General features: G+C 42.4%; 1 pseudogene, besides 1 other annotated feature; it reads left to right on the forward strand.

Annotated features, from left to right (window-relative positions):
* The window catches only part of SAGE4P (sarcoma antigen 4, pseudogene), a 34,840-nt pseudogene that overhangs the window by 3,083 nt on the left and 8,638 nt on the right, over positions 1-23,119 (forward strand).
* Positions 8,741-9,940: an enhancer, noted in NCBI's record as "CDK7 strongly-dependent group 2 enhancer chrX:134744552-134745751 (GRCh37/hg19 assembly coordinates)". NCBI's record gives its function as "activates an origin of replication core promoter dependent on BRD2, BRD4, P300/CBP, MED14 and CDK7 cofactors, with strong dependence on CDK7, by STARR-seq in HCT116 cells {active_cell/tissue: HCT116}" and the evidence as "EXISTENCE:reporter gene assay evidence [ECO:0000049][PMID:35650434]".

Genomic DNA, 23,119 nt, shown 5'->3' on the forward strand with positions numbered 1-23,119 from the left:
AAGAGGTCCTTCACTTCCCTTGTTTGCTGTATTCCTAGGTACTTTATTCTTTTTGTAGCAATTGTGCATGGGAGTTCATTCATGATTTGTCTCTCTGCTTGCCTGCTTTTGGCGTATAGGAATACTAGCAATTTTTTTTTTTTTTGAAACGGAGTCTCGCTCTGTCGCCCAGGCTGGAGTGCAGTGGTGCTATCTCGGCTAACTGCAAGCTCCGCCTCCCGGGTTCAGGCCATTCCCCTGCCTCAGCCTCGGAGTAGCTGGGACTACAGACGCCCGGCTAATTTTTTGTATTTTTAGTAGAGACGGGGTTTCACCGTGTTAGCCAGGATGGTCTCCATCTCCTGAGCTCATGATCCGCCCGCCTCGGCGCGCTGGGATTACAGGCGTGAGCCACTGTGCCCAGCCAGGAATGCTAGCAATTTTTGCACATGGATTTTATATCCTGAGACTTTGCTGAAGTTGCTTATCAGCTTAAGAAGCTTTTGGGCTGAGACAATGGGATTTTCTAGATATAGGGTCATGTCATCTGCAAACAAAGATAATTTGACGTCCTCTCTCCCTATTTGAATACACTTTATTTCTTAGTCTTGCGTGATTGCCGTGGCCAGAACATCTGATACTGTGTTAAATAGGAGTGGTGAGGGAGGGCATCCTTGTCTTGTGCAAGTTTCAAGGGGAATGCTTCCACCTTTTTTCCATTCAGTATGATATTGGCTGTGGCTTTGTCATACATGGTTCTTATTATTTTGAGGTATTTTCTTTCAGTACCTGGTTTATTGAGAGCTTTTAATATAAGGGGATGTTGAATTTTATCAAAGGCCTTTTCTGCATCTATTGATATAATCATGTGGTTTTTATCATTAGTTCTATTTATGTGATGAATTACATTCATTGATTTCCCTATTCTGAAACGACCTTGCATCCTGGGGATGAAGCCAACTTGATCATGGTGGATAAGCTTTTTGATGTGCTGCTGGATTCAGTTTTCCAGAATTTTACTGAGGATTTTTGCATCGATATTCATCAGGAATACCGGCCTGAAATTTTCTTTTTTTGTTGTATGTCTGCCAGGTTTTGGTATCAGGATGATGCTGGCCTCATAAAATGAGTTAGGTAGGAGTCCCTCCTTTTCAATTTTTTTGGAATACTTTCAGTAGAAATAGTACGAGCTCTTCTTGGTACCTCTGGTAGTCAGGAGCATAGTCTTGGGTTATCCTTTGATGAAAATAGCTTTTAGTTAGCCTAGTATACCCTTGAATTTCATGTTTTATCTACCATCAACATTGCAAAGCACGCCCTATCCCTGTCTGTCTCCAAGATCAACATATTGGAATAAAAGATTTGTCATCACTCAACACACATGATGCTCTCATAAAAGGCAAGTTAATTTTAATCTAGTCTCAGTGAAACAAGGGAAGGTAAAATACAAGGTGTTATCCAAAGTCAAACATGGTGCAGTCATGATTAATCAGAATGCTTGGGGAATGAAGCATATAGAAACATATAGATAGTGATACATATAGATATAATGATATCTATATGTATCTATATGATATACATAATGATACATATAGATAGTGAAGGGTAGGATAGATTGAAAAGGTAAATGTTCCCACACCTCCATGGTGGGAACATTTACCTTTTCAATCTATCCTACCCTTCACTATCTATATGTATCATCTAATAAAGTATTTATCAGTGTTTGTTAATACGTAGCTTTAAAGCACTGAAAGATAAGAAAGGTATTTCTTTTTTTTGGTCCCCTAACAAGGGCTGAGACAAAATGATGTGTAATTCATTAGAGATATAACCATATGTTTATTCCTTTGGTTGATGGAAGCCACTCATTCCCCAAACATTCTGATTAATCATGACTGTACCATGTTTGACTTTGGATAACACCTTGTATTTTACCTTCCCTTGTTTCACTGAGACTAGATTAAAATTAGCTTGCCTTTTCTGAGAGCGTCGTGTGTGTTGAGTGATGAGAAATCTTTGACCTGTGACTAAAACTTTATATTAGCGATATAAATGCATGGCTGTGTATGCATATGAAGACTGTGACTTTACAATGGTTGGATTTGTCTTTATTTTTTATTTATTTATTTATTTATTTATTTATTTATTTATTGTTTTTTTGAGACGGAGTCTTGCTCTGTCACCCAGGCTGGAGTGCAGTGGCGCGATCTTGGCTCACTGCAAGCTCCGCCTCCCAGGTTCACGCCATTCTCCTGTCTCAGCCTCCAGAGTAGCTGGGACTACAGGCGCCTGCCACCACGCCCAGCTAATTTTTTGTATTTTTAGTAGAGACAGGGTTTCCCCATGTTAGCCAGGATGGTCTCGATCTCCTGACCTTGTGATCTGCCCGGATTACAGGCTTAAGCCACCACGCCCGGCCTAGGATTTGTCTTTAAGGGAATATGTTCACTGATGTTTTTCAGCAAATGAGGAGTGATGAAGTAAATCAGGTTGCAACAGGGCATCAAAGCAAACAGAAACGTTCCAGAAAATCCAAGAGACACTCTTCATCTAAGAGAGGGAAGAGTATGTCCCTGCGGTTAGACAAACAGGAAGGTGAGGGGGAATCCAATCTTTGGGCCTCAACCATGTCAAAGGACATTTGTAGTCATGTCCTTGAGGGATGAACAGATATGAGCACATTTGCAAGTGGAAGGGCAAGGTTCTAATTAGGTGCAACAATTTGGAGTTGCTGCAAGTGTTAGATGAATGAAGCAGGTTCCTGAGGCAGAAGGAGATGGTGGGCTCAACAAGAGGATGAGTCTGCTCACTTTCTGCCTGTCCTCACATTCCGCTCTAACCCAGTGTGGTCTGGCTTCTTAGTGTACTCCAATGAAACTACTATCATTAAGGTCACCAGTGTTTGCTACACTTTGGCATTAATGTCTCAGCAGCATGCGACACAGTTGTTTACTCCCTCCTGCACGGAAAGCTTCTTGGGTCCCCAGACACCTGGATTTCTTACCCTGTTACTAGAGACTCATTTTCCTTCTCTTTTTTGTTTTTCTCCTCTCCCTTCCCACCTCTAAATATTTCGGAACCCCAAAGCTTAATCCTAGACTCTCTTCTCTTCAGTATACTATCTATTTAGGCGATGCCATGCTGTCTTAGAATTTTAAATGATTCACACTATAAGAATTCTCACCATTATACTTCAGCACTACAACTTGCTCCTGAAATCCAGACTCAAATACAACTACACGCGCGGTATCTCTACTGGGTGTCTAATAGGCATGTAAAATTCAACTGGCTCTACGTGTTCAAATTTCTGACCTCCCTCTCTCCAAAAATACTCTACTTTCATCCTTCACTTTTCAATTAAAGATACTGTCCATTAGGTGAAATATCCTCTAAGTTGTAGCAACCAGCTGTTCACAGGTATCGAGGATTGAGAAGTCCTGGTTTTTGGAGTTTGCAGCTATCCATAGAGCAGATAATCCCACCATGGCCTAGTTCAAGCTGTCAACGTAAGGTCACGGAACCAGATTCAAGAAGAGTTGGCAGCACTCAGCTCTCACAGTCGGTTGCCTAACACCTCCTGAACACCCCGGTGTACTTTTACTTAGTAGTTCAAGTCAAAATACTTAAAGTCACTTATGAGTTATCTTACGATTCTTTTATTACTCTCTCATTTCCCATCTCTTAGCAAGTCTAGTAGTCGATGCCCAGTATAAATTCTGCATCCAACCGTTTCTCTCTGTCCCTCCAGTGCACACTTCCGTGATCTCTCTCCAAGATAGTACAATGCCTTCTTAGCTCAGTGTTTCTAATCTTCGCTCATCTATCACATACTCTAACCCTATGGCTAGATAATTATGTCAGCGTGTAAATTACATCATGCCATGTCCCTCCTGAAAACCCAACCTCAACTCTCCTAAGCACTCAGAACAGACCCTGAACCGGCTTTGGTCTCCAAGCCTCTGCACAGACTGGCCTCTATCACCCTCTCCTAACGCGGGTCCCGTCCATTTCCTCCTGGCTCTCTCTGCCTCTGTCCTTCACCTCTCTAGTGCCCGGTCTATCCCCACTCCATCCCCTAACCTTGGCCTCACCGCAACCTGGAACTCTCCCTCTGCCTCTGCACAGGAGGTTCTGCTTCTTCCTCCAAGCACTGCCCGATGGCACCTTTTCAGAAGGCCCTGCCAACAAGCTGCAGCCCCTGGGGCTACCTCTGCTGCTGTCTCCCACATGCCTGTGGACTGCTTCCCCAAAACCAGCCCAGCACTGTTTGTTTCATTTGCTCTTTGTACATGTTTTGTCTGACTGCCCCATGAGGATGTGAGCTCCACAGGGCAGGGAACGTTGCTCTCTGGGCTGTTTACTGCCGATCCCCAGCTCCTGGCACGCTGCCTGCCACAGATGGTGAATAAATGAAAGAGGTGTCAGACCTGGAGTGAAAAGAAAGTCACTTTTTCTAGACAAAAGGGAAGGATCTGTAGAATCATATAAAAACACAGATGTATGATGATAGAGTGGAGATAAGAGTGTTCAACTCCAATAGCCACCTCTAATTTCTCAGAATATTTGAGGTAGAAAGGAGGCAGGTTAAGGACGGCTCACTTAGTCTGGCTTCCTGCTGCACACAGCATGGCATTTATAGGTGAATTACAACAATAATATCAAATGAGAAATGTAAAGGGCAGCAAGATGATACAAAATGATGAGTACTAAAACCTGTGAATATTTATTCTGCTGTCGTACTTCTTTACTGCATGTATTCATTATGCCAAGAGGTAAGAAGGTAGTTTTACTGTGTTATCTAACCTGATCTCTGTTTGCAAGATCTGAGATTCCCACGTGGTAAATCCTTCTGTTTCATGAAATAAATAATTTCCTAGAAACTGATTAATACATAGCTGTCCCTCTGGGGGAGGATTGGACAAAGCACACCTATCTTGCAGCTCAATCTCTTCATTTGGTTTCCAGATGCTAGCATCACTCACAATGTCCATGAAGAGAAGGTAAAAAATGGCCAGCCAGCACCTGGTAATGTCATCACAACTGTTCCACCAGTGCTTATTAATATGGCTGCAGCTGGTATTTCATCCATGAGTACTAGGGATCAGTGTAAGTTTGCTCACTTGGTATACTGTTCTATTTGATTTCCACTATGCAGTATATGCATAGTCTCATGAGGGAAGAAGGTAATTTTGTTGTATTATCTTTTCTGGCCTCAATTTTAGGGTTCTCAAATTGCTACCTGGTATATCCTCCTTCTTTATGAGATAATTTCCTAGATACTGAGCATCAGAGGGGTATGCCTGTGTGGTTGACATAATGCACTTACCTCGCAGCTCAACCACTTCATTTGGTTTCCAGATGCTGCAGTCACTCACAGCATTCGTGAAGAGAGGATAAATAACGGCCAACCAGCACCTGATAACACCTTGTCGACTGCTCGACTGCTGGTAATATGGCAGCAGCTGGAGTTTCATCCACGAGCACGAGAGATCTGTGTATGTCTGCTTGTTATTTGGACTTGTCCTATTTGGTTTACATAAGCAGGCATATTTTCATGAATGGTGGAAGGTGGTTTTGTTGTATATTATTTCCTAGCCTCAATTTGAGGGGTATCAGATGGCCACCCGCCATATCCTCCACTGATTTTTTAGATAATCTCCTAGAAACTGAGCATCAGAGGGATAGGCCTGTGGGATTGACAAAATGCACTTACCTCACAACTCAACCTCTTCACTTAGTTTCCACATGCTACCGTCAATCCCAATGTCCATGAAGAGAGGAAGGAAAATGGCCAACTGCAAATGGATAACGTCTTGTCAAATGTTCTGTCAGGGCTGATTTATATGGCAGGAGCTTGTATACCAGCGATGAGTACCAGGGATCTGTGTATGTTTGCTTATTGGTTGTAGTGTTCTCCTTGGTTTCCATATGCAAGCATAGTGTCATGAAGGGAAGAAGATGGTTTTGTTGAATTATTTTTCCTGGCCTCAATTTGAGGGGACTCAGATCATTATATGATGTATTCTCCTGCTTTATCAGATAATTTCTTAGAAACTGAGCATCAGTGGGATATACCGGTGAGGTGGTCATAATGCACTTACCTCACAGCTCAACCTGTTCCACTGGTTTCCAGATGTTACCATCACTCACAATGTCCGTGAAGAGAGGATGGAAAATGACCAACCCCAAACTGATAATGTCTTGTCAACTGCTCCACCACAGCTTGGTTATATGGCTGCAGCTCCATCCACAAGTATCAGGGATCTGTGTATGTCTGCTAATTAGTTGTACTTTCATACTTGTTTTCCATAAGCGTGCATATTTTCATGAAGGGTAGAAGTCGGTTTTATTGTATATTCTTTCTTAGCCTCAATTTGAGGGGTCTCAGATGGCCACCTGGCATATCCTCCCTGCTTTCTTAGATAATTTCCTAGAAACAGAACATCAGAAGGTTATACCTGGGGGGTTACCATAATGCACTTACCTCACAACTCAACCTGTTCATTTGGTTTTCAGATGCTACAGTCACCTTCACAGTCCCTGAAGAGAAGATGGAAAATGGCCAACCCCAATCTGAGAACCCCTTGTCAACTGCTCCAACAGGGTTTATTAATATGGCAGGAGCTGTTATTCCATCCATGAGTACCAATGATCTGTGTATGTTCACTTATAAATTGGATTGTCCTGCTTGGTTTCCATATGCATGCATATTGTCATGAAGAGGAGATGGAGGTTTTGTTGTATTATCTTCCGTGAGCTCAATTTGAGGGGTGTCAGATCACCAACTGTCATGTCCTCCTGCTTTATGCAATAATTTCTTAGAAGCTGAGCATCAGAGGGATATACCTTTGGGGTTAACATAATGCACTTACTCACAGTTCACCCTCTTCATTTGTTTTCCAGATTCCACCGTCACTCACAATGTCCGTGAAGAGAAGATGGAAAATGACCAACCCCAACCTAATAACATGTTGTCAACTGTTCAACCAGTGGTTATTTATTTGGCAGCAGCTGGTATTCTGGGCATGAGTACCAGGGATCAGTGTATGTTTGTTTACTAGTTGTAGTGTCCTACTTGGTTTCTATATGAATGCACAGTGTCAAAAAGGGAAGGAGGTTGTTTTGTTAGATTCTCTTTTGTGAGCTCAATTTGAGGTGTCTCAGATCATCACCTGGTGTATCCTCCTGCTTTATGAGATAAATTTCCTAGACACTGATCATCAGAGGGATATACCTGTAGGGTTGACACAATACACTTAGCTCACAGCTCAACCCTTTTATTTGGTTTTCAGATGCTACCGTCACTCACAATGTCTGTGAAGAGAGGGTGGAAAATAACCAACCACTACCTAATAACGGCTTGTCAACTGTTCTACCAGGGCTTACTTATTTGGCAGCAGCTGGTATTCCAGCCATGAGTACCAGGGATCAGTGTAAGTTTGTTTACTAGTTGTAGTGTCCTACTTGGTTTCCATATGCATGCATATTGTCATCAAGGGAAGAAGGTGGTATTGTCGTATTATGTTTTCTGGCCTCAATTTGAGGGTTCTCAGAGGGCTGCCTAGTATATCCTAGTTCTTTATGAGATAAATTCCTAGATAGTGAGCATCAGAGGGGTATCCCTGTGGGATTCATATACTGTACTTACCTCACAGCTCATCCACTACATTTGGTTTCCAGATGCTACCATCACTCACAATGTCCATGAAGAGAAGATAAATAATGGCCAACCAGCCCTGATAATGTCATGTCAACTCTTATACCAGGGCTTATTAATTTGGCAGGAGCTGGTATTCTACCTATGAGTATCAGAGATCAGTGTGTGTTTGTTTACTAGTTGTACTATCCTACTTTGTTTCCATATGCATGCAGTGTCATAAATGGAAAAATGTAGTTTTATTGTATTGTCTTTCGTGAGCTGAATTTGTGGGATCTCAGATCACCACCTGGTATATCCTCCTGCTTTAAGTGATTATTTCCTAGAAACTGAGCATCAGAGGGATATACCTGTGGGGTTGGCATAATGCACTTACCTTACAGCTCGACCTCTTCATTTGGTTTTCAGTTGCTACCATCAATCACAATGTCCATGGAGCGAGGATGGAAAATGGCCAACCGCAACAGGATAATGTCTTGTCAAATGTTCTATTTGGGCTTATTAATATGGCAGGAACTGGTACTCCTTCAGTTAGTACCAGGGATCTGTGTATGTGTTTTATTTTCTTGCACTGTCCTTCTTGGTTTCCATATGCATGCATAGTGTCATGAAGGGAAGAAGGTTGTTTTGTGAATTATCTTTCCTGGACTCAACTTGAGGGGCCTCAGTTCATCATATGATGTATTATCCTGCTTTATGGGATAATTTCCTAGAAACTTATCATCAGTGGAATATACCGGTGGGATTGACATAATGCACTTACCTCACAGCTCGACCTCTTCCTTTGGTTTCCAGATGCTACCATCACTCACAATGTCCGTGAAGAGACGACGGAAAATGGCCAATGCCAAACTGATAACGTCGTATCAACTGTTCCACCACAGCTTGGTCATATGGCAGCAGCTGGTATTCCATCCATGAGCACCAGGGATCTGTGTATGTCTATTAATTAGTTGTACTGTCATACTTGATTTCCATGTGCATACTTATTTTCATGAATTATAGAAGGTGGTTTCGTAGTATATTCTTTCCTAACCTCCATTTGAGGGGTCTCAGTTGACCACATGGCATATCCTCGCCTGCTTTCTTAGATAACTTCCTAGAAACTGAGCATCAGAGGGATATACCTGTAGGGCTGACATAATGCACTTACCTCACAGCTCAACTTCTTCATGTGGTTTCCAGATTTTACCATCACTCACAATGTCTGTGAAGAAAAGACAAAAAATGACCAAACAGCACCTGATAAATTCTTGTCAACTGTTACAGCAGGGCTTATGAATTTCGCAGGAGCTGGTATTCCACCCCTGAGTACCAGGGATAAGTGTATGTTTGTTTAATAGTTGTACTGTCCTACTTGGTTTCCATACGCATGCAGTGTCATGCAGGGAAGAAGATGGTTTTGTTATATTATCTTTTCTGGCCTAAATTTGAGGGGTCTCCGATCACCACCTGATATATCCTCCTGCGTTATGGAGCAATTTCTTAGAAACTGAGCTTCAGAGGGATATACCTGTGGTGTTGACATAATGCACTTACCTCACAGCTCGACCTCTTCCTTTGGCTTCCAGATGCTACCGTCACTCAAAATGTCCGTGAAGAGAGGATGGAAAATAACCAACCATCATCTAATAACGTCTTGTCAACTCTTCTACCAGGACTTACTTATTTGGCAACAGCTGGTATTCTAGCCATGAGTACCGGGGATCAGTGTATGTTTGCTTATTCAGTTGTACTGTCCTACTTGGTTTTTTCAGATTGATACCTGGCATATCCTCCTTCTTTATGAGATAATTTCCTAGATACTGAGCATCAGTGGGGTATGCCTGTGTGGTTGACATAATGCACTTACCTCACAGCTCAACCACTTCATTTGGTTTCCAGATGCTGCAGTCACTCACATCGTCTGTGAGAAGATAAATAACGACCAGCCAGCACCTGATAACATCTTGTCAACTGTTCCACCGTGGATTGGTAATATGGCTGCAGCTGGAATTTCATCCACGAGTACCAGGGATCTGTGTATGTCTGCTTATTAGTTGTATTGTCCTACTTGTTTCCTCTAAGCAGGCCTATTTTCATGAATGGTAGAAGGTAAGTTTGCTGTATATTCTTTTCTATCCTCAATTTGGGGGGTGTCACATGGCCACCTGGCATATCCTCCCTTGCTTTCTTTGATAATTTCCTAGAAATTGAGTTTCAGAGGGATATACCTGTGGGGTTGACATAATGCACTTACCTGACAGCTCAACCTCTTCATTTCGTTTACAGATGCTACGGCCAGTCTCAATGTCCATGAAGAGAGGATGGAAAATAGCCAACCGCAACCGGATAACATCTTGTCAAATGTTCTATCGGGGCTTATTAATATGGCAGGAGCTGGTATTCCAGCCATGAGTACCAGAGATCTGTGTATGCTCACTTTTTAGTTGGATTTTCCTACTTGGTTTCCATTTGCATGCATAGTGTCATGAAGGGGCGAAGGTGGTTTTGTTGTATTATGTTTTTTGCCTCCATTTGAGGGGTCTCAGGACAACGCCTGTCATGTCCTCCTGCTCCATGTAATAATTTCGTAGAAGCTGAGCATCAGAGGGATATATTTGTGGGTTGAAATAAGGCACTTACTTCACAGCTCGACCTCAACATTTGGTTTCCAGATGCTACCATCACTCACAATGTCTGTGACGAGAGGATGGAAAATGACCAACCACAACTTAATAATGTCTTGTTAACTTTTCCACCAGGGCATATTAACATGGCAGTAGCTGGTTTTCCGACCATGAGTCCTAGGGATCTGTGTATGTTTGTTTACTACTTGTACGGTCTTACCTGGTTATTATATGAAGGCATGGTGTCATAAAGGGAAGAAGATGGTTTTGTTTTATCTTTCATGACCTCAATTTGAGGGATTTCAGATCACTAACTGGTGTATCCTCTCCTCCTTTATGAGTTAGCTTCCTAGAAACTGAGCATGACAGGGATATACCTGTGGAGTTGCCAAAATGCACTTACCTCACAGCTCAACATTTTCCTTTGGTTTCTAGATGCTACCGTCAATCAGTGTCTATGAAGTGAGGATGGAAAATAACCAACCACAATCTAATAACGTCTTGTCAACTGTTAAACCAGGGCATATTAACATGGCAGCAGCTGGTATTCCAGCTATGAGCACCAAGGATCTGTGTATGTTTGCTTATAAGTTGGATTGTCCTACTTGGTTTTCATATGCATGCATAGTGTTATCAAGGGAAGAAGGTGATTTGGTTGGTTGTACCTTCTTTCATGAGCTCAATTTGAGTGTTCTCAGATCGCCACCTGGCATACCCTCTCCTGCTTCATGAAATATTTTCCTAGAAACTGAGCATCAGACGGATATACCTGTGGGGTTACCACAGTACACTTATCTTACAACTCAACCTCTTCATCTGGTTTCCAGATGCTACAGTCACTCACCATGTCCGTGGAGAGAAGATAAATAATGGCCAACCAGCACCTGATAACTTCTTGTCATCCGTTACACCAGGGCTTATTAATGTGTCAGTAGATGGTATTCCACCCATGAGTACCAGGGATCAGTGTATGTTTGTTTACTAGTTGTTTCTACTTGGTTTCCTACTTGGTTTCCATATGCATGCAGTGTCATAAGTCGAAGAAGGTGGTTTTATTGTATTATCTTTCATGAGCTCAATTTCAGGGGTCTCAGGTTGCCACCTGGTATATCCTTCTGCTTTATGAGATAATGTCCTAAAAAGTGAGCATCAGAGGGATATCCTGTGGGGTTGACATAATGCACTTACCTCACAGCTTGATGTATTCTTCTGGTTTCTAGATGTTACTGTCACTCACAATGCCCATGAAGAGAAGATGGAAAATGGCCAACAAGCAGCTGATAACATCTTGTCAGCTGTTCCACTGGGGCTTATTAATACACCAGAAGCTGGTATTCCAGCCATGAGTACCAATGATCTGTGTATGTTAACTTATAAGTTGGATTGTCCTACTTGGTTTCCATATGCGTGCATGGTGTCATGAAAGGGAGAAGGGGATTTTGTTATATTATATTTCATGACCTCAATTTAAGGGATTTCATATCACCACCTGGCATGTCCTCCTGCTTTGTGCAATAATTTCCTAGCAAGTGAGCATCAGAGGAATATACCCTGCAGGGTTGATATAATGTACTTACCTCACAGCTCGACCTCTTGTTGTTTCCAGATGCCACCACCACTCACAATGTCCATGAAGAGAAGATGAAAAACAAGCACCTGATAACTCCTTGTCAGTGGTTCCACTGGGGCATATTAATCTGTCAGGAGCTGGTATTTCATCCAGGAGTACCAGGGATCTGTGTATGTTTGTGTATTGCTTGTACTGTCCTACTTGGTTTCCATATGCATACATAGTGTCCTGCAGGGAAGAAGGTGGTTTTGTTGTATCATCTTTCTTGAGCTCAGTTTGAGGGGTCTCGGATAGCCACCTGGTGTATCTTCCTGCTTTATGAGATAACATCCTAAAAACTGAGCCTCAGATGGATATAGCTGTGGGGGTGACATAATGCACTTATCTCACAGCTCAACTTTTTCATTTGGATTCCAGATGCTACTGTCATTCACAATATCCAAGAGGAGGAGATGGAAAATGGTCAAACGCCTCCTAATGGCTTCCTGTTAAATTCTGCTCCACCAGAGCTTATAAATATGACAGGAGATCATATGCCACCCAACGCATTGGATTCTTTCTCCTACAACTTCACTAGTCTCAGCAGATATAAGCTGCTTTACAAACCTGATAGTAATGACTTGTGGTAGGCACCAAAAATGGTCTCTGCAGGTGACCCACCAGTCACAGCAATGTCTTCAGTGGAAACTGTGCCAAATATACCACAAATATCTCCTGCCATGGCAAAGAAAATTAATCATGATATAAAATGTCAATTAATGAAAGAAGTTTGAAGGTTTGGGCAAAGTAAGTAGTGCAAGGATGACTATCAATGAAAGCATGCCAAGTCTCTCATTCTATGATTTAGAACAGAATTAAGCTGCCTCTTGAGCTCATTGCTGGGCTGAATTGGATCTGTATATGATTTAGCATGACTTCTATTTAATTTCACTGAAAATTTCTAACACATCTGCTTAAGTGTTTTGTTTTCCTTTGTTAGTGTTCACAACAGTTTCCTTAGTAATATACAGGTGTTGTGATTTAAGCATTCAAACACAAACACTACGTAACATTGTAACCCATGAAAAATGTATACAGTGGTAGTGGATGCACTAAGATTGAGGTATATTTCATTTTCATAATTCTAGAAATACTAATATTTTAAAATATCTTCAGATTATAAAACAATTTTCATTTTGCTTGAAGAACTACAAGGATCTATGAAAGTCAAGAGACAATTTGTTGAATTTACCATCAGGGAAGCAGCAAGGTGGGTGCAAAAAGGAACTCTGCTGTTGTTTTAAGCACTTGCGCCCAATTTGGGACAGGGGCAGGAAAAAATCATGCCTTGTTCTTCCTAATCCCTGGCCCTCAATCATAGTTCATACTATTTCCACAGGCAGTTAGGTTGATATTATCTTATTCTAACACTTTCTTCCGATGCCATGGAGCCTTCCAAATTTACCATAATCTGGGAGTGGGCGTGGGTCCTCAGTTGAATCACTTTGTATTTTTCTAGTTTGTATCTTTCCATGAGGATGCATTTTCTATTTGCATGTCGATTGTAAACTCTATTTTGTATCCACTACTACCTCTTACAACTCGTAGATCCTGTAGGTATCCTCTGGTTAATGGAATACCTCTTTAATTTCAGGTTTAAAAAAGTTGCCTTAATTCAGCAACTCGAGAAGGTGCTTAAAGATATAGGTTCCTACTGCCATCTCAGAAAAGTTAAGCACATGAGAAAAAAAATAATTGTTTTAGTGCAAAGACCAAGGAGAAACAAGGATACACGCCGCAGGATGGAACAGGTTATTACTGAAGCTCCCTATAATTTTGAAGCGAAGAGAATTCCCTTCCAAAAGCTAAGAAAAAAAGAGGTAACTTTTTATATTTAATAAATCTCCCTTAATAAAAGCTGCACTTTTGTTTGTTTGTTTGTTCTTCCGCCGGAGGAGGGGCATGAGTCAATAACTCAGCAAGGTATTTAGTATTACAGTCCTGGTTTCTGCAGCAGCTCACATTGTTGTAGCTGGTATTTATAACTGCCTTCTTTCTCTACCCATTTCTCATTCCCTTTGCCCTGAGATAGCATGTCAGCTGGTCATGATGCTTGGTCTGGCAGGATGACTCAAACCTTCATTACTGAACAGTCTGGACCAATAGATATCCTGCCTGGATTGGGTTGCTGTAATTTTCCATTAAGTGTAATAAACATGAGAGGACTAAGAAGCTGTCTAGACATATCAAACATACTCTTTTTAGCCCCTGGTGTAGTGCAATTAATCCCCCTTTGGTTGTCAGGTTCATCACCCCCAGCCAGTAGATGACCCCCTCCTTTGCCTCTAGATGGAAAGTGATGAAGAGAACAAAATGGCCTGCTGGCAGTATCGATCTCTTTTCAATGGAGTCACTGTTGTGTCCCTTGTCAAAAGCATTTCTTCCTTTGGAACTAAGACTTCTAGTACAGGAGAGCCTAAAATCAGAAGGACAGGAAGCACTTATGCTAGTGGTTCACGGCGGGGAAAGTGAGTAGAGACACTCCCAGTTATACCCCTTCGTTCTAAGACGAATGAATCCTGACTATTGGAGAGAAAGCAGACTATGTTGGATGCAGACATACAGCAAACACTGCTTCTAAAAGTAATTTCTCAGACCTGCAAGGTATTGCCACTTAGCTAGCACTGTAACCGAGTTGTACAAGACCATTTCAGTTTCTGTTCATCCAGTCAGGTTCAGATTATGGGGGACACATTGGGAGGCTGATTTGGAATCAAAAAACAATGAGGCCAAGACAGTATCATGTCTATAAAGAAGATGATGGGGGATAGGGAGATATAAATAATAAGACCAGTGAATTCCTATGAACACGGGCCCATCACTGCACTTTATTTTCTGGGAAGCGAGTGCCTTGTTTGGAGGTGATGCTGTGTGGAATACCATGATGGTAAATAAAGCATTTTCTAAGTGCACAAATGTTGATTTTCTGAAATTACTGTGGTTGGGAAGGAAGATCCATATTCAGAATAAGTGTCAATTTGAGTAAGAACACAGCCCTGTCCCTTCCATAGTGGAAGTGGTCCAATGTAATCACCTGCCATCTGGTAACTGGCTGATCACGCTGGAGACAGGTGCCATATAAGAGACTCAGTGTTGCTCTCTGTTCTAGCAGATTGTACACTCAGCAATGACTAATTGCAGAATTTTGCTCCTTAGTTCAGTTAAAACCGAGTTCACACGAACGGGGAAGATTAGGTTCGCGGACACATTGAAGGGTGAGGAGCTGAATTTATTGGTTAAAAAAGAAAAATAGGGAGGAAAAAAAATCTCTCGGCAAAGTGAGAGGGAGTCCTGCTAAGAGGCCCCCATCTCACAGATTGATTCCGGGCCACCGCACAGGAACCGAAGAGACCAGGCTCCACACCGCCACCCCTGCACAAGGTGCAAACTTCCCATGGCTCCACACCCTTCCCCCAGTACACACGATGCTAATATTAAGAAAGAATCAGTTGGGAATGGGCTAGCAAACAGTGCCAGTTCTTCTGGCTGCAGGTTTCATTCGGTAGCAGCAGTCTGGTTTCTCAACCTTCAGGCCATTTTAGGCTTGAAGGCGGGGTTTCACCGGGGACCCCTGGCTGTCTCATGTCTCTATCAACTGTAGCCAGGTTGGCCTTGGTGAGTGGAAGTCCATGCTACTGAAGCAAAATCTCTATCCTTGGTCACCTTGGCCACTCTGTGAGCTCACGAGGTTATGACACCAATGTTGGGGAAAGAGGCTGATTAATATCTAGATAATAGGTACTTTATCCTTCAGATTATTAAAATTCTGCTCTACAGAGGTTACCCTTTGCTGAGAACTCTCATGAGACCTAAGTATCTTCACATTGTATATCCATTTGGACTACTCTATCCACATATTTTTTCCCAGACCTCCTTGTCATAAATTTTCAATCATGTGTCCACAAAGTCCTTGATCATACAGCCAATAAACGAGACACGGCCTAAACATGGATACATACTTATAGTCTGGCCATCTCTCCTCCACACAGAAACACTGCTCAAGCATCTTCCCTCTTGGAGGATTTCCCTTCACCACTGTCCTTCAGAGCTATCCCAGTTGGGCCTGTCGTAATGAAGCTGTCCGCTTCTGGCTTTTGTGGTAGACAGGCATTATGAACAGACTGAATATTTGTGTCCTCTGAGAATTCATATGATGAAACCCTAACTCCCAGTGGGATGATATTTGGAGGTGGAGCTTTTGGGAGGTAATTAGGTTTAGATGTGTTCATGATGTTTGGGTCCCTATGATGAGATTAGTGCCCTTATAATTAGAGAAAAGGGAACTTGTTCTTCCATGCCTCTTCAACGTGTGAGGCTACCGCAAGGTGGCTGACTGCAAGCCAGGAAGAGGCCCCCCACCAGAATTTGAGCATGTTGGCACCCTGATCTTGGATTTCTAGCTTCCAGAACCTTGAGAAAGAAATGGGTGATGAAGCCACCCAGTCTGTGGTATTCTGTGATAGCAACTCGAGCTGACTGAGACAGCTGTAGTCTGATTCCCCAGACTCCCATCTCCTGTATACTCGATCAAGCAATAATCCCAATACTGCTATGGTGGGATTTTGCTGGATAACTAATGTCTCAAGCCAGTTGACCCTGAGACACGAATGTGGTGTGGGTGGGCCAGACCTGGCAGGGGAATCCTTGAGAAGCAGAGCATTTTCCTTACCAAGGAGCAGAAGAAGAGGTAAGGGAATCAAAGTGCAAGAAGGATGTGACACAGCAGGCCCGCTTTGAGGATAAAGCAGTGCTCCCAAGAAGGTATAGGATGGCTCTAGGTGTTTAGTGCAGTTTCTGGATGACAGCCAGCAAAAAAATGGGAACCACATTCCTACCACCTTAAGGAACTAGGTCTAAATGAGCAATAACCTGAATAAGCTTAGAAGTGGATTATTCCGCAGTCTCCACATCAGCACCCACCCGGCCTGACATTTTGAGTTGGCCTTGGGAGACAGTCAGCGGAGAGGCCGGTCAAACCTTCCTGGTCTTGACTTGCAGAAGTGTGGATAATTAATGTGTGTTGTTTTAGGCTGCTCAATTTGGGGTAATTTGTTATGTGGCAATAGAAAATTAACAGCGGTGCTGCCAGCCCATTATAAAGAAAGAAAAGTAAGCCAGGCCTAGGGATTTTTTTATTGTTTGTTTTTCTGACAACTCTGTTCCTAAGGAAGCTGCCCTTGGAGCCATAGGTGTGGATTCAGAGAGCTTTTTCTTGTACTAGGCCAAACTCAGAAGTAGCAGATTTTCCGGTCATTAGAAGATAAGTCACAGCAGCACACCTCGATGAGGTACATGTTACCACCATCAGAACCTAAGGAGGCCCACTATATTTTGCGTGTCCCCTTTGAATGGTAGGAAGGGTGAGATGTACCTACTTGCTGTTCACCTGATAAGTACTATGTTGATATTTCACTAAGTTAAAAGGCCCCTGATTTTTTGTGCAAATTAATACTTCGGTTGTCATGTCAGTATGTTACCAGTGTGTCTAGAGTAGTTGCTAGGTCCTGCTCAATCAGCATAACGTCCTCAATGCAAAGAAATGGTGTCACATGGTGGGAAGGAAAGGAGATCAAGATCCCTAAGGACTAGTTTGGGACATAAGTTTATGATGCAGGATACTTTCTTGACCCCTTCACAGGACTCGTGACAGGGGTGCCCAGCCACTTTGGCACCAGCAGGAGCAAACTCCTTTTCCTTGGGCCCACCACACCTCACCTCTCACGGGATGGAGCATGTAGACAAGTGAGTGTGGCAACTGGCCAGCTGCTTTGGCGCTGGCAGGAGCAACCTCCATGCAGGCACTGTGGCACCATCTGGGTAGGAGTGCCTGCAACCCCAAGGCCCCAGAGTGCATGTTACAATGCTCTGTTAGCTCCACCATCCATGGACAGCAGTGTGTTATCAGCTCAGTGGGACCTTTGCCTCATTGCATGGGGTGGCTGCCCTCTATCAGCAAGGGCAAAGGGCCAGTGTGACAGCCTTTTTGGGTACTCATACTTGGTGCGTCCCAAATTCTTGTCTGGTGCCCAAGAAGAATGAGGTCACACAGACTAATTGAAGGATGGTGAGTGCAGAGAATTTTGTTTTGCGATGAAAGCAGCTTTCAGGGGAAAAGGCAGCTGGAAAGGGGACGTGAAGGGCAGGTCACTCTCCCCTGAAGTCAAATCGCCTCTCTGCCTCTCTCCTCCGAAGTCAAATTGCTTCTGCCCGACCTCTAGCTGTCATCTCTGAAGTCAAGTCACTTCTCCTTGATGTCCGGCTGCTTCTCCTCTCTAGTGGCTGAATCTGGGGTCTTTACAAACATGGGACATGGGGCAGGATGGGCCATAGGTGGTTTTGGGAAAGGCAAAATTCGATTGGTAAAAAAATATTATTCAGAAAAAACCAATTGGCAGGGAGTGGCCAAGATGGGATAGAAGTCCTCACTTCAGGCTTTTCAGCTTGAAGGTGGGGTTGCACCAAGGACTCACCCTTGTCTGCCTAGAGTTTCTTTGCCTCCTGCCTGTATCACTTAGAGAGTTGATGTAAGACTGAGGTAGGAAGGAAAAGGGTTTTGCTGGCCTTGCCAGCTGAAAGCAAACAGTTCCTCCTGATCTTTAAAAAACATGTTTAGAGATAGTTTTAGATATGTGGCGTTATTTCTGAGGGCTCTGCTCTGTTCCATTGATCTATATCTCTGTTTTGGTACAAGTACCATGCTGTTTTGGTTACCGTAGCTTTGTAGTATAGTTTGAAGTCAGGTAGTGTGATGCCTCCAGCTTTGTTCTTTTGGCTTAGGATTGACTTGGCGATGTGGGCTCTTTTTTGGTTCCATATGAACTTTAAAGTCGTTTTTTCGAGTTCTGTGAAGAAAGTCATTGGTAGCTTGATAGGGATGGCATTGAATCTATAAATTACCTTGGGCAGTATGGCCATTTTCACGATATTGATTCTTCCTACTAGGTCAACAATTGTGGAAGTCAGTGTGGCGATTCCTCAGGGATCTAGAACTAGAAATACCATTTGACCCAGCCATCCCATTACTGGGTATATACCCAAAGGAATATAAATCATGCTGCTATAAAGACACATGCACACGTATGTTTATTGCGGCACTATTCACAATAGCAAAGACTTGGAACCAACCCAAATGTCCAACAATGATAGACTGGATTAAGAAAATGTGGCACATATGCACCATGGAATACTATGCAGCCATAAAAAATGATGAGTTCATGTCCTTTGTAGGGACATGGACGAAATTGGAAATCATCATTCTCAGTAAACTATCGCAAGGACAAAAAACCAAACACCGCATGTTCTCACTCATAGATGGGAATTGAACAATGAGAACACATGAACACAGGAAGGGGAACATCACACTCTGGGGACTGTTGTGGGGTGGGGGGAGTGGGGAGGGATAGCATTAGGAGATATACCTAATGCTAAATGACGAGTTAATGGGTACAGCACACCAGCATGGCACATGTATACATATGTAACTAACCTGCACATTTTGCACATGTACCCTAAAACTTAAAGTATAATAATAATAATAATAATAAACATGTATAGAGAAAAACGCAGTCACATGATCTCACACACACACACAAACATATATGTGTGTATATATGCATACATAATGTTAAATTTCTATCTAATGTTAAACATCTGTATAAAAGGGAGCTGTTATGTAAAATTGGTCGGATATAGTATTTTTACAGGACTATGCTCTCTGTATAAGGCTATTATCTCAGTATAATACCGGACAAGGAGTGAAACATTTCTGGACTTGCTAAACCATATTTTGTGCTACAAGAATAGAGTGGAAGCACCCAGTGAGGGTGCGTTTGCCAAAATGCTGCCCTCAGTAAGCAGAGAGGCTCTCACCCCAAATACCTGAGGCTCCTGGGTCTGGGCAAGGAGCAGCCCTGTGCAGCAGGCAGGCTGGACATTTGGCTTCTTAGACTCTGTTCCAGCCCTAGCTGCCTATGACCTGAGATTTGTCTTTCCCTTCTTGGGGCCTCATTTGTAATATCTCTGGAAAATGGCAATCCCGGGATAACTGATGTCTGACGTTCCTTGTGGCCTTGACAGTCGTGTCTGGGGAGATTGCTTTCCCTGGCCACAAGAGCGGTGTGTTTCTGTAATTCTTTTATTCTAAAGATTTTTGAAAGCCACTTTGTTGGAACACCAATCATTTCCCATCAGGAGCTTAAAGCAATCTTCAGACACTCGTTATGATGTTTCCTTCATTCAACAAATGTTCCTCAAGGGTTTTCCAGTGCTGGTTCTCTCCTAGACACTGGGGAGATGATGGCGAAAAGGCCACATGGTTGGCATTTCACCATCTTATGCATTAGGGTGCCTCTGGTTGCAATGAGCAGAGAATCTCCCTGCCTGTGGGAGTAGCCGAAGACATCACACATTGAGAAGTCTGCAGGGAAGCAGGCAGGGTAGGGCCAGGACTTGGTTCAGATGAAGGAGGCAAAATTTTGGGGGAAAGCAAGGCACTTGGTAATCAAGATGAGGAGTAGTTTGCCATAATTTTTCAAAAATCAAAATTAATACAAAACATCCACAATGAACAATATATCAAAATTTAAAATAAAGGCAGGATTTGCCCTTGCACCTGCAGAGCCCTGAACATTGTGCACGTGGAGGGGACACGTGGGTGCCACAGTCCTACTACTTAAAAACGTCTCACTTGCAATTTTCTGTGAAGGCCACTGCTTCCTTCTGAGGGAAGCTGGCAATTGTTCTCTTTCTATGCTCATGCAATCCATATTGCCACAGGGTGGAAAAAAGAAATAGTTTGATTTAATTACAAATATGTCTGTGCAATTTTTGAAAATATTCTAAAGAACCCTCAAGTAGGTCGTGAAAATTTTATTCCTTAAAATATTTGACTTTTCAGAAATAGAATTTCATCAAATATGAAACATTTTCTGAAAAAGTATTCTTTCCAAGGAAAATAGCAATTATCAAGAAACTTTTGTACTTTATTCACTGAAGGCAGTTATGAAAATTACACTGGTGTTCACTTCATTTTTAAAAAATTAATTTTTGGCCGGGCGAGGTGGCTCACGCCCATAATTCCAGCACTTTGGGAGGCTGAGAAGGGCGGATCACGAGGTCAGGAGATCGAGACCATCCTGGCTAACACTGTGAAACCCCATCTCTACTAAAAATACAAAAAATTAGCCGGGCATGGTGGCGGGTGCCTGTAGTTCCAGCTACTCGGGAGGCTGAGGCAGGAGTATGGCGTGAACCTGGGAGGTGGAGCTTGCAGTGAGCCGAGACTGTGCCACTGCACTCCAGCCTGAGCGACAGAGCGAGACTCCGTCTCAAAAAAAGAAAAAAGAAAAAAGAAAATTAATTAATTTTCAAGAGTTTTTTAAAGTCAGATTTGTTCAGAAGCCTGGTGTGAAATTTTTTACTCTTCATAACTATTTATTTTTTATCTTTATATAAATTTCTATGTACATCGGTGTAATGACTAAATATTTCAAAAGAATCCATAATTAATTTAAATTACTTGATTATGTGTTAGCACATTTATTCTACATGGACTATATCAATTAAAAGTAAATATTTTTGTCAATTATGCTACAATTATTTAGAGAGTTAAGGCACCAAAGGTAAGTGATGTAATGTTCAAGAATGAAGTAAAATGCATGTGGAAATTCATCAGAATTACAGGATTCACTCAGTTATGAGAGTGACTAGAAGAAAGTATTGCAGCTACTGAAAATAAATGTTTTCCTGTCATTGACATTATTAGAATAGAGTTACCCTCAAATCCACTGAAAACTAAGGAAACTTTTTGAAATCGTGAGAAGAAATTGAAGGAGAGTGTTAGATATTTCAGAAACATGTTGACGTTTGAGCTAATGAAACAAAAGGGGTTTACTGGAAAGAATATGGACAAAACCAAGAACAACATGCAGATTCTAATGTATTCATATAATGACTGGAGATTTTTTAAAATACAGGTGTGTGGCCGGGCACGATATCTCACACCTGTAATCCCAGCACTTTGGGGAACTGAGGCGGGAGGATCACTTGAGCCCAGGAGTATGCGACCAGCCTGGGCACCATGGCGAGACCACATCTCAGCAAAACATACAAAAATTAGCTGGGTGTGGTGGTGCACACCTGTAGCCCTAGCTACTCAGGAGGTCAGGAGGATTGTTTGGGCTCAGAAGATCGAGGCTGCAGTGAGCTGTGATCCCAATAGTGCACTGACTGGGCAACAAGTGAGGCCCTGTCTAAAAAAAAAAAAAAAAAAAGACATTTATTCCAAATAATATATGTCTTTATCTGGTTCTCTGTGAATAATTATTTTTAGCAGTAATACGACAGAATCAGATGCATGAAACTCAAAAAAGTGGGTTCACAGATTGGAAGAATTGAAATAGAATTTGGAAACATGAGAATTTCCTGTTCCAGCATAATGCTTTTCCAAAATGGAGGTGTATTATGGTATGTATATGCAGACTCATAGCTTAATAGATGATGGTTTGCAGAAGGTGATGAAATCAACAAAAGTGGCAGAATATTTTGGAGTGTTGTTGATGGCTGTTCTGAGACATTGGTTCTTGCTTTCTTAGTTTAAATGAATTTAAACAAGAGGCACATAGCAAAGGAGATGCAGCATAGAGTAATTTATTGCAAAGGAAAAAGAATATTTTGAAAGTTAGCTGCAGAATACACACTGAGAAACACAGAGAGGATTCAGGGCTGGCTGGTCATAAGGATGAGACAGCATTCATTATTACTGGGGAAACTCCCTTTATGGGAGTCTTACATGATTATTCTTAAGGAAGTGGGAAGATGTGTTACTAGCAAACATGTTCTGGGTGGTCCTCTGGGTGTACATGCTCATCCATGCTCATTCATACATCACATGTCTCATTAGCATTTTAAATCTCCACCCAGGGGTGTGTTTTTTACTATTACAATAAGCAAAGGGTCAGTTTGAGGACAGGTGAAATCAAAGTGCACATGCTCTCTACAGAGGAAATTCCCTACTGAAGATAGCTTTGCTTGAATGAGCTTAACTACAATGTGAATGCTGAGGCTTATTGTGTTGGCTGTATGGTCCCCACGGTTGCTGCATGCCAAGGGCATGGTCACTTCCTTGACTACTTACCCTGCCTCAATTCCGCCTAAGAGATCTTAGGGCCTATAATCATATGGGAGGTTGAGGGGCTAGGTCATTTCTTCTGAAGCTGCTTCCTGCTGAGTGGGGCGTTGTCCCTGCCTAGCCTGGGCCCTAAAGTC

Source organism: Homo sapiens, chromosome X, assembly GCF_000001405.40.
Source record: "Homo sapiens chromosome X, GRCh38.p14 Primary Assembly".
Taxonomy (NCBI): Eukaryota; Metazoa; Chordata; class Mammalia; order Primates; family Hominidae; genus Homo; species Homo sapiens.